The sequence below is a fragment of the Homo sapiens genome, chromosome 11 (genome assembly GCF_000001405.40).
Source record: "Homo sapiens chromosome 11, GRCh38.p14 Primary Assembly".
Classification (NCBI taxonomy): Eukaryota; Metazoa; Chordata; class Mammalia; order Primates; family Hominidae; genus Homo; species Homo sapiens.
This window is the reverse complement of record NC_000011.10, coordinates 77,865,280-77,879,558: the sequence shown is the minus strand read 5'-3', so window position 1 is coordinate 77,879,558 and position 14,279 is coordinate 77,865,280. Positions and strand designations below refer to the sequence as shown.

Genomic DNA, 14,279 nt, shown 5'->3' with positions numbered 1-14,279 from the left:
TAATAAAGTAGTCTGTGGTACATGCAGCCCTGAGGCTTGAGATGGAACTGCGCAGGAAGAGCCCAACTGGGTATCAGAATAAGCCACATGCACCTTCTGAAACTGCCCAAATCCACACCTGCATAAGAATTTGAGCCCAGTTCATAAAGCAGATCATGAAGCAATTATCTTCCTGGAAGGGTTTTTAGCTTGCTCTCCAGTTGCCTCAGCAGCTTTGGCTCTGTGCCACAGTGAGCCCAAGGGGAAGGTGATGGAACAGCATCACATCTGCAGGCTCAGTGTTTTGTTTGGTGAGGGTAAGGGGAGGGAATGTAGACGGATGAAGAAATTTCTCCCTACTGCTTCCATTTTGATATTTCTTTAACTTCACATTTCATCCTCATTCCTAGCAGTTGCCTAGTTATAGAGGATTTCTTTTATCTTTTTTTCAGAGGCATGCCAGGTGGAAGTGAGGCTGCTGCTGGCCTACAACTCCAGTGCTCGCATTCCAAAATGCCCCTGGATGGAGGGTGGTGAGATGTCACCACAGGTGGAAACCAGCATCGAGGGCACCATTCCCTTCAGCAAGCCTGTAAAAGTTTATATAATGCCCAAACCTGCACGGCGCTAAGGCAAAAACAGTCTTCCCAACCGTGGCCTAGAGGGCCCTTCTTAGGTGTCAGAATGAGCCAAGCCTGAAGCACTTCACCTGGAATTGATGTGTAGGCTTAAGGAGTATGTGACCCTTACAGTCTCATCTGGTATCAAACACAGGATAAATTGTTTCTTCATTAAAAAATAAAAAACCTTCAAGTCTACTTACCCTTCTCCTGTCCACAATAAAGTTGAGAAAACACCAAGCTGTTCTAGTTCCTGGTCTGTAAAGAAATGCGTGTGGCTATAGCTTCAGCTTTTATACTACGTGCTTACATGCTATTCCTCAGGTGTGAAACACAAAGATCCAGTTACCTCCTGATAACTGGTTATTTGAGCTATAGTCTTATTTCTTAAAGTGACGGTGTGTTTGTCAGGGCAACTCCAAGGCCGCTTTAACAGCTGTACTTTTTTTTTTTACCATTGACAGTTGCTGAAGGACCTTAAACATGTGTTAACCTTGCTAAGAAGCCTCTTCCCTAATGCAGGCAGTAGCTGGGCCAAGGACTGAATAGCTGGAGAATGAATCATTTTCATCTTTGAGGAAATTTTTTTTTTTTTTTTGAGATGGAGTCTTGCTGTGTCGCTCAGGCTGGAGTGCAGTGGCGTGATCTTGGCTTACTGCAACCTCTGCCTCCTGGGTTCAAGCCATTCTCCTGCCTCAGCCTCCTGAGTAGGTGGGACTACAGGCGCCTGTCACCACGCCTTGCTAATTTTTTGTATTTTTAGTAGAGACGGGGTTTCACCATGTTAGCCAGGATGGTCTTGATCTCCTGACCTCGTGATCTGCCCACCTTGGCCTCCCAAAATGCTGGGATTACAAGTGTGAGCAACCGCGCCTTGCTTTGAAGGAAATTCTTGATCTTGCCTGCCATTATTCTTAGGACCTCTATGGCTTTAAATAAATAATATAGAAGAGCTATATTTTACAAAAGAAATCAAGATTATGGGAAACAGGGGTCCAGTGCAAGAAATAAAGTAATTTACTGCAGCATCTCTGATGAGTTGATGCTGCATGTGAGTTAAAAGTTTTAGGCATGGGGCTGGGGGCTGTGGCTCATGCCTATAATCCCAGGACTTTGGGATTATAGGAGGCAGGAGGATTTCTTGAGCCCAGGAGTTCAAGACCAGCCTGGGCAACATAGCGAGACCCCATCTCTGTTTAAAAAAAAAAAATTGCAAGTGTGATATAACAGTCAGTGCTCCAGAGAGGTTAACCTTTGGTACTGCCTGTGCTATGTACTTTACCTGTCATTTAATCTTCACAATAGCCAAATGAGGCTATTACTGTACAGTAAGTAATAAAGCCTGTATTCATTCAAATCCAAGAAGATCCCAAAGGTCTAAGCTATACCACCTCAGGGGAAGTATATGGGAAAAAGCCTTCAAATCTTCAGCTCTCTCTGCCTCAGTTTCCTCATCTGTGAAACGAAGATAATTGGACCTCAACAGTGGTTGAGTAGGATGGATTAAATAACAATTGGTAGAATCTGAACCTGCAGCCAGTCTTGATCATATTTGACACTTGGCAAGCTTATAAAAATAATAGCAAGATAATACAATTACTCAGAGGTGGAGCTGGAATTTAAATTCAAGCATGTTTTAACTTTTGGTTTAAGGTACTTGGGTGTACCTGGCAGTGTTGTAAGCTCTTTACATTAATTAATTAACTCTCTAGGTACTGTTATCTTCATTTTATAAACAAGGCAGCTGAAGTTGAGAGAAATAAGTAACCTGTCCTAGGTCACACAATTAGGAAATGACAGATCTGGCAGTCTATTTCCAGGCAGTCTATTTCCACGAGGTCATGAGTGCGAAAGAGGGACTAGGGGAAGAATGATTAACTCCAGGGAGCTGACTTTTCTAGTGTGCTTACCTGTTTTGCATCTCTCAAGGATGTGCCATGAAGCTGTAGCCAGGTGGAATTGTACCACAGCCCTGACATGAACACCTGATGGCAGCTGCTGGGTTGGAGCCTAGACAAAAACATGAAGAACCATGGCTGCTGCCTGAGCCCATCGTGCTGTAATTATAGAAAACCTTCTAAGGGAAGAATATGCTGATATTTTTCAGATAAGTACCCCTTTTATAAAAATCCTCCAAGTTAGCCCTCATTTTCCATGTAAGGAAACAGAGGCTTTGAGATAATGTCTGTCTCCTAAGGGACAAAGCCAGGACTTGATCCTGTCTTAAAAATGCAAAATGTAGTACTTCTTCCATCAAAGGTAGACATGCACTAAGGGACAGGTTTTGGCTTGGTATCAGAATACATTTTTAAAAGCTGTGTAAGAATTGAACGGGCTGTACTAGGGGGTATAGAATTCTCCAGGCTAGATGAGTTTGGGCAGAGGTTGAACAAGCTCCTGACAAATTTGTTGCTAAGCAATTCAAGTATCGTATCGGGGTTGGGCTCAACTTTTTAAATTGCTTTTACCCTGAATTTTCACGTTCTGGGGAACATGAGAATTTTAGTTTTTCTCTATCTGATTCTGTACTTTTTCACTGAAGTGAAAAAAAAAAAAAGACCTTTTTATAAAGGTTTCGAAGGGGGCATAAAGAGCACTCCAGTGTGGCACCTTCATTTACAAATGAATACGCAGGCCCAGAGAGACTGAGTTAGTGGTGAAGCTAAGCCTGGAACCCAGGCCTCTGGTTTCTTCCCCAGGTGACTTTCATCACAGGGGTCTGTTCTTAGTGAGTGGTCTAGCATGCACCCAGCAGTCAGAGCCAGAAACCTGTTTGGCACGTTGGATTCCTTCCTCATCCCTCATACAAAAGTAGCCATCAAGTCCTTTAGATTCCTCTTCCTTCATGTTTCTTAGTCCTCTTCTTATACTGTTTGTATACTGATGGAACCACCATCAGCCCTCCTTAAGTGATGAGCTGATCTGACCACACCATTCCCCTGCTCAGTCCCTTTCAGTGGATCACTGCTCATCCCAGGAAAAAGTCTGAACTCCTGTCTTGAAGGCTCTTCATGGCTCTGCTTCGTTTCCAGCCTCATACTCCCTGTCCCAAACTGTCTCTGTACTCCACTTGAACAGAATTACCTGTAGTCTTTTTCTGTCACCTCTAGGCCTTTGGACCTGCTGAGCCTGGGAATGTGCTCCTCAGACTGTCTCCTGTGGTTCTTTCCTTCCATTCTTCAGGACTGGGCCTTGTTCTAGGACATATCTGTGTCTCTTATGGGCTTGGAACATTTCCTCTATGTTCCCACAGCCTCCTATACTATATTCTTCACACATAGTATAGTATTTATTAATATGGCATTGCAGGTTCACAAATGCAAACCCCTTAAGAAAGGTAGGCAGGAAAAGTAAAGGAATAAAGTGGCCTAGAAGATAACAGCAATTGGAAGAATCAGAGAGCACATTCTCTGTTGGAGAAGGCGGTGCTATTCCATTCCACTCAGTTATTTTCATTTATAAGTGTGGACCTAGTGGTGTCAGTTCTTCCCATTCTTCCAAAACAGCCAGAAATCTTCATTTTCATGAAAGTTAAAAAACCTTGGTAACTACAGTAAATATTAAAATTACTGAGACAAACAAAACATGTCTCCAGGCAGATTTGTGCCAATTTGCAACTTCTACATCCTCACTGTAATGTTTACACGCCTTATTTCTTCCAACTGATCTGTACCTGGACTGTAAGAATGTCTGTGCTGTATGCCCAGCACAACTCCTGGCACATAACCGGGCAAGGAAAGAATGATTCTATGTCTCCAGAGCAAAGGTAGCAGTACCATGGCATGCTGCAAAAAAAGATTCAGGTTTCTGAAAGGACTTTATATTTGCTTTGAGATGATTGAACTCAGCAAACACAATCATGGAGAAGAAAGGTACACACCTAGCTGTGGCCAGCTTCATGTCTTTTTTTTTTTTTTTGAGATGGAGTCTTGCTCTGTCACCCAGGCTGGAGTGCAGTGGCACGATCTCACCTCACAGCAGGCTCTGCCGCCCTGGTTCCAGCGATTCTCCTGCCTCAGCCTCCCAAGTAGACTAGCTGGGATTACAGGCACGTGCCACCACGCCTGGCTAATTTTTGTATTTTTAGTAGAGATGGGGTTTCACCATGTTGGCCAGGCTGGTCTCGAACTGCTGACCTCAGGTGATCTGCCCACCTCGGCCTCCCAAAGCGCTGGGATTACAGGCGTGAGCCACCGCACCCGGCCAACTTCTTGTCTTAACCACTCAGGCTAGAAGAAATGACCTGTGGGCAGCTTGAGGGCTGTTCTACCTACAAACTAACTCAGAGGCTTTAATGATTTAAGACAGAGGACTAAGTATAGTTATGTGGAGAAACAGCTTCCCTTCAAGCTCTACATATTTCCATCGTTAACCATGTGCACCAGGTTCCAAAGTAGGGGCTATGTATTAGCAGGTTTTCTTAAAAGTTTAATAATGTCACTGACAGATACTTCTGTCTCTAAGAAGTTTACACTAAGTTCTCTTTAATTGGAGACAACTCACTTAGGAAGAATGATTACACCCACACTGAATTCAACACCCACCAGAGCTGTCTCACCTTACATTTGACCAAAAAAAAAAAAAAAAGACTGCATCACTAGAGAAACAGTCTGAATTTTATCAAACATCCTTCTTAGCTATACAGAGGGCTGGCTTTATGAGCCAAGGGAACAGATCTAGAAAGATCTGTCATCTGACAAATGAAAGGGCTGCGGAAAGGGCACCAAGCAGATCCTTCCGAGACTTCAATGCTGGGTGTCGGGTCTGTGAAGCACTCACTCCCGTCTGCTTCTAGGGAGCAAGGAGGTGTATGCCATAAACTGATAAAGACACAGTGCTGGGTTCTAATCCTACGTCTGCCACTTACTTGGAGAACTTGGAAAAAAATAAATCCCTTCACTTTCCATACTGTTTCAGCTTTTCTTGCCAAGCCACATCTTAAGTTGCTGTCCAGTCTATAGATTGGTCCCTGTAGGTCAGAAGCCTAACTAACTACGTAGTCAGGTGGCAGGATCATGTGAAGCAAAAATCATCTTTCCACTGCTGCTGCTCCAGTGATGGCTGGGGTGGAGCGATTTTATTTAGTTATGGCTGTGATAAATACCATACCTAGTAAATGTCTAGTTAAAAGAGCTGCCAAGTAAGTGTTTTTTCAGTGAATTAATGAACCTTCCATTTTTTAAGACTCAGCTTAAATGTCATCTCCTTAGTGATGTCTTCCTTAATTTTCCTTCCATCCTAGTGGGATAAATTAGTCTTTTCTTTGTGCCACCACTGGACCTAGTAACTATTATAATATTAACATTGTATCATTATTGTTTACTTATTTGTCTTTCTCTCATACAACATAATTCCCAAAGGCAGGAATTGTAACATTCATCCTTATTCCCCCAGGGCCCAACAATAACTGGTCATAAGAAAATTAGTAATAGGCTGTCCGTAAATGGATATGAAAGAGAATTACTGAATAAATGAGTGAGATAGTTCCTTTGGGCTCCAACATTCTATGGCTCTTTGAAATAATAAGCTGCTATATTAAGAACCATAAAATGAAACTAGTTGGCTTTACACAGTATCCCCATTAATAGAAAGATAAGGACAACAGTGGTTTAATGTATTGAGTCCTTACTAAATGCCATGCAGTGAGTTAATACTTTCTATGAATTGCCTCATTTAATACCTACAATGACTCCAGGTACTGCTAATGTTATCCTGATCTGACAGATGAGAACAGTGAAACTAAGAAATTAGACAAATACCCAACCAGTGAGTGGCAGTGAGCTGCAGTTCAAAGTCAAGGCTATTTGACACCAAAGCCCATAGTTCTTTAAAAAGAAAGAAAAATTAAAAATAAGGTGATGCTGATAGCTTGTAGTTCTCTCAGTCTATTCTAAGGCTTCACAAAGGCCACCTCGGTATTTAATAGAACAAAGACTATCTGAGCCAGTAGGAACCTTTAAAGGGCATCTAGCCAGCCCCAACATTTTATACTTGAATTTTTTCTTTTTTGAAACGGAGTCTCTCACTGTCACCCAGGCTGGAGTGCAGTGGCACCATTTCGGCTCACCGCAACCTCTACCTCTTGGGTTCAAGTGATCCTCCTGCTGCCTTAGCCTCCCAAGTAGCTGGGATTACAGGCTCGTGCCACCATGCCCAGCTAATTTTTGTAGTTTTAATAGAGATGGGGTTTCACCATGTTGGCTAGGCTGGGGTTGAACTCCTGACCTCAAGTGATCTGCCCACCTCGGCCTCCCAAAGTGTTGGGATTACAGGCGTGAGCCATGGCGCCTGGCCTATAGTTGAAATTTGAAGCCCAGAGAGAACAATCTGGCTCCAGTCTCAGGGTTGGTTAGTAGAACAGCCTGTCTAGAACCCAACTCCCAGGGCATACTCCTACTGTTCCTGTTACTCAGATGTTCCCTCAGTTCATTCACTATATTATTAAACTTCTGTCTCATCTTTTTTTCTTTTAGCACCCTCAAGGACAGGGACCTTGTCTTGGTCATCCCTGCATCCCAAGAGCCTAGCACAGGACCTGGCATGAGTAGGTGTCCAAAAATGTTTAGGGGAGGCTGGTTTGGAGAATGGTGAGTGACAGTCACAGGCATAGGCACTTAGTGATTTATTCTCCTCTTAAGGCTCCATCAGCAGGTGGAATGGAAGACACCTCCCACCCTGACCCCTTGGGCAACCAAGGCATTATACTCCTTCACTGCCTGCTCTGTCTGGAGGACCCGCACATCAATGCCATGTTTCTTGAGGTACTCCACAGTTGATGAAGGCACCTGGGAAGGTGGAAAAGAGATGAGTAAGTAGGGGGAAAGGCCCCCCAGGGGTTCCTTTACTGCCATGAGGCAGGTGTACTCTACAGAATTAGACAGTGACAATCGTCACTTCACGATCACTCAGTGTATCACCAGTCCAAAATTTGGCAGTGAGCCCCAATGAGTCAAAAAGGCCTCTTTGTCAGAGGTATCATAATACCCATGCATAAAGCTCAAGTGAAATGGAAATGAAAGAACATGGGATTTGCAGTTAGCCTTGGATTTACATCCTTACTAGCACTGTAACCTTGGGTAAGTAAATTAAATTCTCTGAGTCTTTGTTTTCATGTCTGTAAATTAGGGACATTAACACCTAGGGTTGGTATGACAACTAACTGAGCTAAGGGTATGTGAAACATCTACCTTGGTGTGCAAACTCCATAAATGTTAAATGTTTGAGTTAGTCTAAACTGAGTCTAAATTTCTTCTTTGCCGCATGCTAGCTAAGAAATGTTAGGCTAGCTCTTTAAAGTCTCCCAGCCCCAATTTCTTCCCTTGTAAAATAGGTATAATAGTACTTACATCACAGGGTTGGTGTGAGGATGAAATTGACTCATGTATGTACACTGCAGCTCAAATGTCTTCTCACAAAGGCCTTTCTTGCCCACCCCCTACTAGCCCAGCATAAGTCACCATTTTCCTCACTGCGTTTATTATTATCTGAAGTTGTCTAGTTTTTTATTATCCATGAGGGGCATGAACCTTGTTTGTCTTGTTTATCGCACCGTCACCAGTTTCTAGAATAGTGCCTTACCCATAGAAAATGCTTAATAAATATCTGTAAATGAATTTATATAAAAGATGTTCTTAATAGTGACAGCTATTATTAGATATTTTCTCAACTCTGGCTTGTCCTGAATATTTTTTAAAAATAGATTTTAATTAGACTCTGCCTCAGAAAGAACTCAAGTGAAATATTTTTTAATATGCCCTATATTTTCTATATATTTGAGATTTATAAAAGTACCCTATCAGATAGGAATTATTGTAATGGGGAAAACAAACTAGTTTAAAATTTTAAAATATAAATAGGCTGGGCATGGTGGCTCAAGCCTTTAATCCCAGCACTTCAGGAGGCCAAAATGGGAGGATTGCTTGAGCCCTACTGATGAAGGTGCCCTATATATATAAAGCCCTAGATGTAAGGGGCACCTTCATCAGTAAGGAACAGGACTGTAAGACATCTATAAAGGAAAGAATGAGGTAGGCCTCTATATGGATGACTATCCATAATACAGTAATGTAAGTGGGGGAAAAAGTTATAGAATACATATAGCACTGACCTATTTATGTAAAATGGTTATAAGTATATAAACGTATATCTATATGTGTAAGTGTGTATATATTTGCAGATGCATTCAGAGAAGACTGGAGAAATATACATCAAATGTGAAGATTGGGAAGGGAATCTCCCACCTTTTTACTTCTACATTTCTGCATTGAATTTTTAAATCTTTTACAATGAGCATATATTATTTCTGTAAGAAAATTAAAAAATAAGCCAGGCATGGTGGCTCACACCCGTAATCCCAACACTTTGGGAGGCTGAGGCAGGTGGATCACGAGGTCAGGAGATCAAGACCATCCTGGCTAACACGGTGAAACCCCGTCTCTACTAAAAATACAAAAAAATTAGCCAGGCGTGGTGGTGGGCGCCTGTAGTCCCAGCTACTCGGGAGGCTGAGACAGGAGAATGGCATGAACCCGGGAGGCAGAGGTTACAGTGAGCCAAGATGGCGCCACTGCACTCAGCCTGGGCGACAGAACAAGACTCCGTCTCAAAAAAAAAAAAAAAAAAAAAAAAAATTAAAAAATAGGCCAGACGTGGTAGCTCACATTTGTAATCCTAGCATTTTGGGAGGCCGAGGCGGGAGATCATTTGAGCTCAGGAGCTCAAGACCAGCCTGGGCAACAATAGTGAGACCCCATCTATATTTAAAAAAAAAAAAAATTAAATTAAATTTTTTTCTGAAGAGGGGAAAACTATAAATGTGTCCAATAAAAGAAAAATTAGAAGTACTATAAAATATACTATGAGGATATAAAGTATTATTAAAATATAAAGGACCAAATAGTGATCCTTGTAGAACTTGAGGGATTCTGAGAAATAGTTGAAATGACACTGTCTCAGGGTTAGGTAGACTGGAGAGCCCAACGCTGATGAGGCAGAGGAATGTGTGCAGCCACTGCTATCCTGGGTCAGCAAAATGAGGGTACATGATATATAAAGATGACCTCCCAAGAAGGACAAGTCTGTAAGACAAAGGCCCAAGAGATCCCCACCTGTCCTCAGGAATGCTGTGCATACCAACACCTACCTTCAAGGCCTCACTCATCCCTCGGCCAATCACAAGAGTCTGTACACCCTTCTCAACAACTTCCTTCACATCTGCAGGCTGCACACCAGGAGAATGCTGGATGTGGAAAGAGAAAGTAGACAGGTACCTGCTCTCAATCTTTCATTGCAATAGGCATTCTTGTGGGATTCATTCATTCAAGAAATGTCTACTGAGGTTCACTTTGTGCCAAGCATCACTCATAGGCTCTTTAAGGCACTTAGGAAGGCTGACGAGGCAGGATCCCTTGAACCTAGGAGTTCAAGACCAGCCTGGGCAACATAGGGAGACCGACCGTGTCTCTACAAAAAATAAAAACTTAGCTGGGTGTGGTGGCTTATGCTTGTAGTCCCAGCTACTCAGGAGAGCTGAGTTGGGAGGATTGCTTGGGCCTGGGAGGTCGAGGCTGCAGTGAGCCATGACTGCACCACTGCACTCCATCCTGGGCAACACAGTGAGACCCTATCTAAAAAAAAAAAAAAAAAAAGAAAAAGAGATAAATAAACGAAATCCGGGAAACAAGGCATTCCAAGTACAGGAAAAAGCATTTTAAAAGGCTCAGGACCTTTTGGCTGGAACAACCATCTTCCAGTAATTTGCCAAAATGACAAATACAAAGGGAAAGAGGAGATGCACCCAATATATGTCCTCTAGGCCTTTTAGAAAATATGGAGTTGTTCCTTTGGCCACATGGTACATGTGAATCTATGAGACAGGTGATACTGTAGACATCAAGGGAATGGGTACTGTTCAAAAAGGAATGTCCCACAAATGTTACCATGGCAAAACTGGAAGAGTCTACGGTATTACCCAACGTGCTGTTGGCATTGTTGTAAACAAATAAGTTACAGGCCAGATTCTTGCCAAGAGAATTGTGCCTATTGAGCACATTAAGCACACTAAGAGCCAATAGAGCTTCCTGAAATGTGTGAAGGAAAATGTTTAGTAAAAGAAGGAAGCCAGAGAGAAAGGTACCCGGGTTCAAATTAAGCGCCAGCCTGCTACACCCAGAGAAGCACACTGTGTAAGAACCAGTGGGAAGGAGCCTGAGTTGCTGGAGCCTATTCCCTGTGAATTCACGCCATAATTTGTGTTAAAAAACAACAACAACAACAACAACAACAAAAACCTCTGGACTGTACATTAAAAAAAAAAAGGTGGCCAGGTATGGTGGCTCACACCTGTAATCCCAGCACTTTGGGAGGCTGAGGTCAGGAGTTTGATACCAGCCTGGTCAACATGGCGAAACCCCATCTCAACTAAAAATACAAAAATTAGCTGGGTGTGGTGGCGCGTGCCTGTAGTCCCAGCTATTCGGGAGGCTGAGGCAGGAGAATCACTTGAACCTGGGAGGCAGAGGTTGCAGTGAGCTGAGATCACGCCATTGCACTCCAGCCTGGGCAACAAGACCAAGACTTCATCTCAAAAAAAAAAAAAAAAAAGGCGGCTGGGCGTGGTGGCTCACACCTGTAATCCCAGCACTTTGGGAGGCTGAGGCGGGTGGATCACGAGGTCAGGAGATCAAGAACATCCTGGCTAACACGGTGAAACCCCGTCTCCACTAAACATACAAAAAATTAGCCGGGCCAGGTAGCGGGTGCCTGTAATCCCAGCTACTCGGGAGGCTGAGGCAGGAGAATGGCGTGAACCTGGGAGGCAGAGCTTGCAGTGAGCCAAGATTGTGCCACTGCACTCCAGCCTGGGCGATAGAACGAGACTCTGTCTCAAAAAAAAAAAAAAAGGCTCAGAGGAAAGAAAAAGACTAGAAGAACAGTTAAAGTCAGTACAACTTGTTTGTAGAGTGACAGATGAGGTGGGAAAAGAAAGCACTTGCATAGCATGCTAAAATTTTGACTTTAGAAAAATTTCATAACAATCTCTATATTGTTACTTTTTTTCTGAACTTCCTAATCTTCCCAGCTAACTCCAGGAAACTTCTTTTTATGCTTTAAAACCTACCAATCACTCTGAAAAGTCTTCCCAGTCTTCTAGGCACATTTAAGGTGATGTGTTTAACAAAGATGAATTGAGCATTAAAGGATGGTAGCTTCTTGAACTACCTCTGTGTCAGCAAAGGGGATATGGGAGTTAGAGTTTGGGAACTACCAGCCCAACCTACTGGGCTCCACCTGTTATGTTTCTGCACAAGGACAATGCTTTTAGCACTGAAGCTCCCAAAGACAAAGCATTCCTTTCCTGACCCATATACCTCTATCCTTTCATTCATTCATCCAGCATTTACTGAGAACTTAACTCTGTGCCAAGTCTCAGTATTTCTAAGCAGTAGCAATACTGAGATGAACCAAATGTTCCATGGAGTTTCATTCAGGTAAGGTTAGTGAAAATGTGCAAATATTTGTAGTAGGATGAGAAGAAATGGAGTTGAGGATCTCAGAAGACAGAGTGAATAAACCCAAGTGGGAAACTGTCATGGAAGACATGCTGTTTTAACTGGGTCTCGAAGTATGAAAATGAATAGGCCTTGAATGCAGTGGTTGTAGAAGGGGTACCTTCTAATGGTAGAGATGGTATAGGAAAAGAGCTGTTGAAATTATCAAAGAGATAACAAATGGGCGAGAGAAAGAAGCGTTTTCCAGTTCAGGAAGATGAGACGTTATGGAGATAGGAATGAAATTTATATATTTATGAAAGGCATGGGGGCCGGGCACAGTGGCTCATGCCTGTAATCCCAGCACTTTGGGAGGCCAAGGAGGGAGGATTACCTGAGGTCAGGAGTTCAAGACCAGCCTGGCTAAGGTGGTGAAACTTTGTCTCTACTAAAAATACAAAAATTAGCCGGGTGTGGTGACATGCGCCTGTAATTCCAGCTACTCAGGAGGCTGAGGCAGGAGAATCACTTGAACCCAGGAAGTGGAGGTTGCAGTGAGCTGAGATTGTGCCACTACACTCCAGCCTGGGCAACAAGAGCGAAACTCTGTCTCAAAAAAAAGGAAAAAGAAAAAAAAGAAACGTATGGGGAGGATGAATATGAGTTTTCATTAAATCCTGTAATAATAATGTCTTACATATTTACATGTGCAGTTTTATTTTTTTTAATATTTTTTTTTTCGAGATGGAGTCTCACTCTCTCACCCAGAGCTCACATTCTAGTAAAATGAAACAAGAGGCCACTGACTGCTGGAAATCCAAGTGTAAGGTCATAGGAGACTACAAACCCATAATCCTCTGGAGATTAGACTGGAGACAGCCACAGCCCATTGGAGTGGCTGGATCAATGGAACTCAAGTGATGAACTGGGCTGCTGCTGCTTTACTGCAGGCTCACAGTGTCATGTACAAAGCAATGAAAGATAACTCTGCAAGGGCCTGTGGATCCATGGGATTGGAGCTTGAGACTATTATTGAGGCATCCTCAACCTGCCACTAGCAATTCCTGTGCTGCTTCCAATCCCTCAGGGCAAATCACTAAGGCTCTTCTTCCTATTGAGTGTCTGATTCTGTTCCTCTACTTTAAGAGGCTTTCTGTCACACGATCTAAGGTGGTAAAAGCTTATTGTTTTTTCTGCGGGGGAAGCTATTAATTGTGGAAAAATGTCCAGCTAATATCCATTATGCCAGCTAAACAACAAGATGGCATCCTGTCTGTCTTGAACATTTCTCCCTATTTCATGCTAACTTTAAAAAGAAAACATTCCTAAACTACTCTTCCAAAGAAGTATTTCCTTCTGCCAAAATTAAGTGAGCATAAATGGGTAGTAGCAATGCTATCATCTGGCTGTATTGCTGATAAAAGCAGATTCTGTGAGTGAAGTTTAAAGGATCTCTGGAATCTATCCCCTGTGGACACTGCCTGAGTCACATTCTCATTATTGCTTGTCTGAATTAACAGGCTGTTAAATAATCTTGCTGCCTCTGCCAGGGCAGAGGCCTGTTTTTGTGCTACAGGCCCCTCTGGCAGTCTATTGAGGCCGATGGTCCCCTTCTCAGAATAATGTTTTAGAATACACAAAAGAAGATATGTAAGATTATAGAGGAAACATTTCATACAAGTGGAATTATCAAAATATTAACAACAAACTTTTGGTCTAGTATTATATGTGCTTCTTTATTAGTTTAGGAAAATGGAAATCTTTTCCAAAAGTCTGCTAGCCAACTTACCCTCCCATCTCATAATGGCAGATGACTAGTTGTTCTTTCAAAATCCATTCTGCCCATTTTCTGGGGCATATAGCTGATAAGCTAGACACTCCGTTTTCTGTACTTCTTGCAGTTAAATGTGGTCATGTGACTGTGCTATCACTAATATAAAATTCAATGGAACATGAGCAGAAGAAATGATTTCATATATAGGTTTGGCATGAGCTTTTCTTCTCTTTCCTCTTCCTTGCAAGTTAGAGCCCTGCCATGCCTACAACCGGTTCCTACAATTCAAATGTTCTAGGAGATGATAGAGCAACAGAAAGAAAAAACCTAGGCCCCTAAATGAAATTGTGCTATCCACATCTCTCCCACCCTACCACCAGTTTGGACTGGCCACAATAATTTATGAGAGAAAGACAC

The 14,279-nt window shown here is 42.7% G+C and overlaps 3 protein-coding genes and 1 pseudogene across 28 annotated transcripts in view; 3 read left to right on the top strand and 1 right to left on the bottom strand.

Annotated features, from left to right (window-relative positions):
* The window catches only part of INTS4 (integrator complex subunit 4), a 120,307-nt gene extending 115,110 nt beyond the window's left edge, over positions 1–5,197 (top strand). The window contains exon 23 of one of the 2 annotated variants that reach the window (XM_017018560.3): positions 2,529–5,197. In XM_017018560.3, the coding sequence (XP_016874049.1) occupies positions 2,529–2,548 (20 nt within the window). In that variant the 3' untranslated portion in view covers positions 2,549–5,197. Of the gene's footprint in view, positions 1–431; positions 840–2,528 lie in introns of those variants that run through there. The other variant, NM_033547.4, reaches the window with a different exon arrangement.
* AAMDC (adipogenesis associated Mth938 domain containing) overlaps positions 1–14,279 on the bottom strand; it is an 84,881-nt gene that overhangs the window by 26,466 nt on the left and 44,136 nt on the right. For 16 of the 25 annotated variants that reach the window (NM_001392037.1, NM_001316960.2, XM_047426836.1 and 13 more), the window contains 2 exons: positions 9,742–9,837; positions 7,207–7,384 (listed from right to left, as the gene is read on the bottom strand). In NM_001392037.1, the coding sequence (NP_001378966.1) occupies positions 7,244–7,384; positions 9,742–9,837 (237 nt within the window). In that variant the 3' untranslated portion in view covers positions 7,207–7,243. Of the gene's footprint in view, positions 1–802; positions 858–2,509; positions 2,610–7,206; positions 7,385–9,741; positions 9,838–14,279 lie in introns of those variants that run through there. The other 9 variants (NR_171642.1, NR_171640.1, NR_133637.3 and 6 more) reach the window with 3 other exon arrangements.
* The window catches only part of RSF1 (remodeling and spacing factor 1), a 212,224-nt gene continuing 205,271 nt past the window's right edge, over positions 7,327–14,279 (top strand). Inside the window, exon 1 of the mRNA XM_017017923.2 lies at positions 7,327–7,407. Coding sequence (XP_016873412.1) covers positions 7,344–7,407 — 64 coding nt within the window. The 5' untranslated portion in view covers positions 7,327–7,343. The remainder of the gene's footprint in view (positions 7,408–14,279) is intronic.
* Positions 10,324–10,863, top strand: RPL21P95 (ribosomal protein L21 pseudogene 95; annotated as a pseudogene).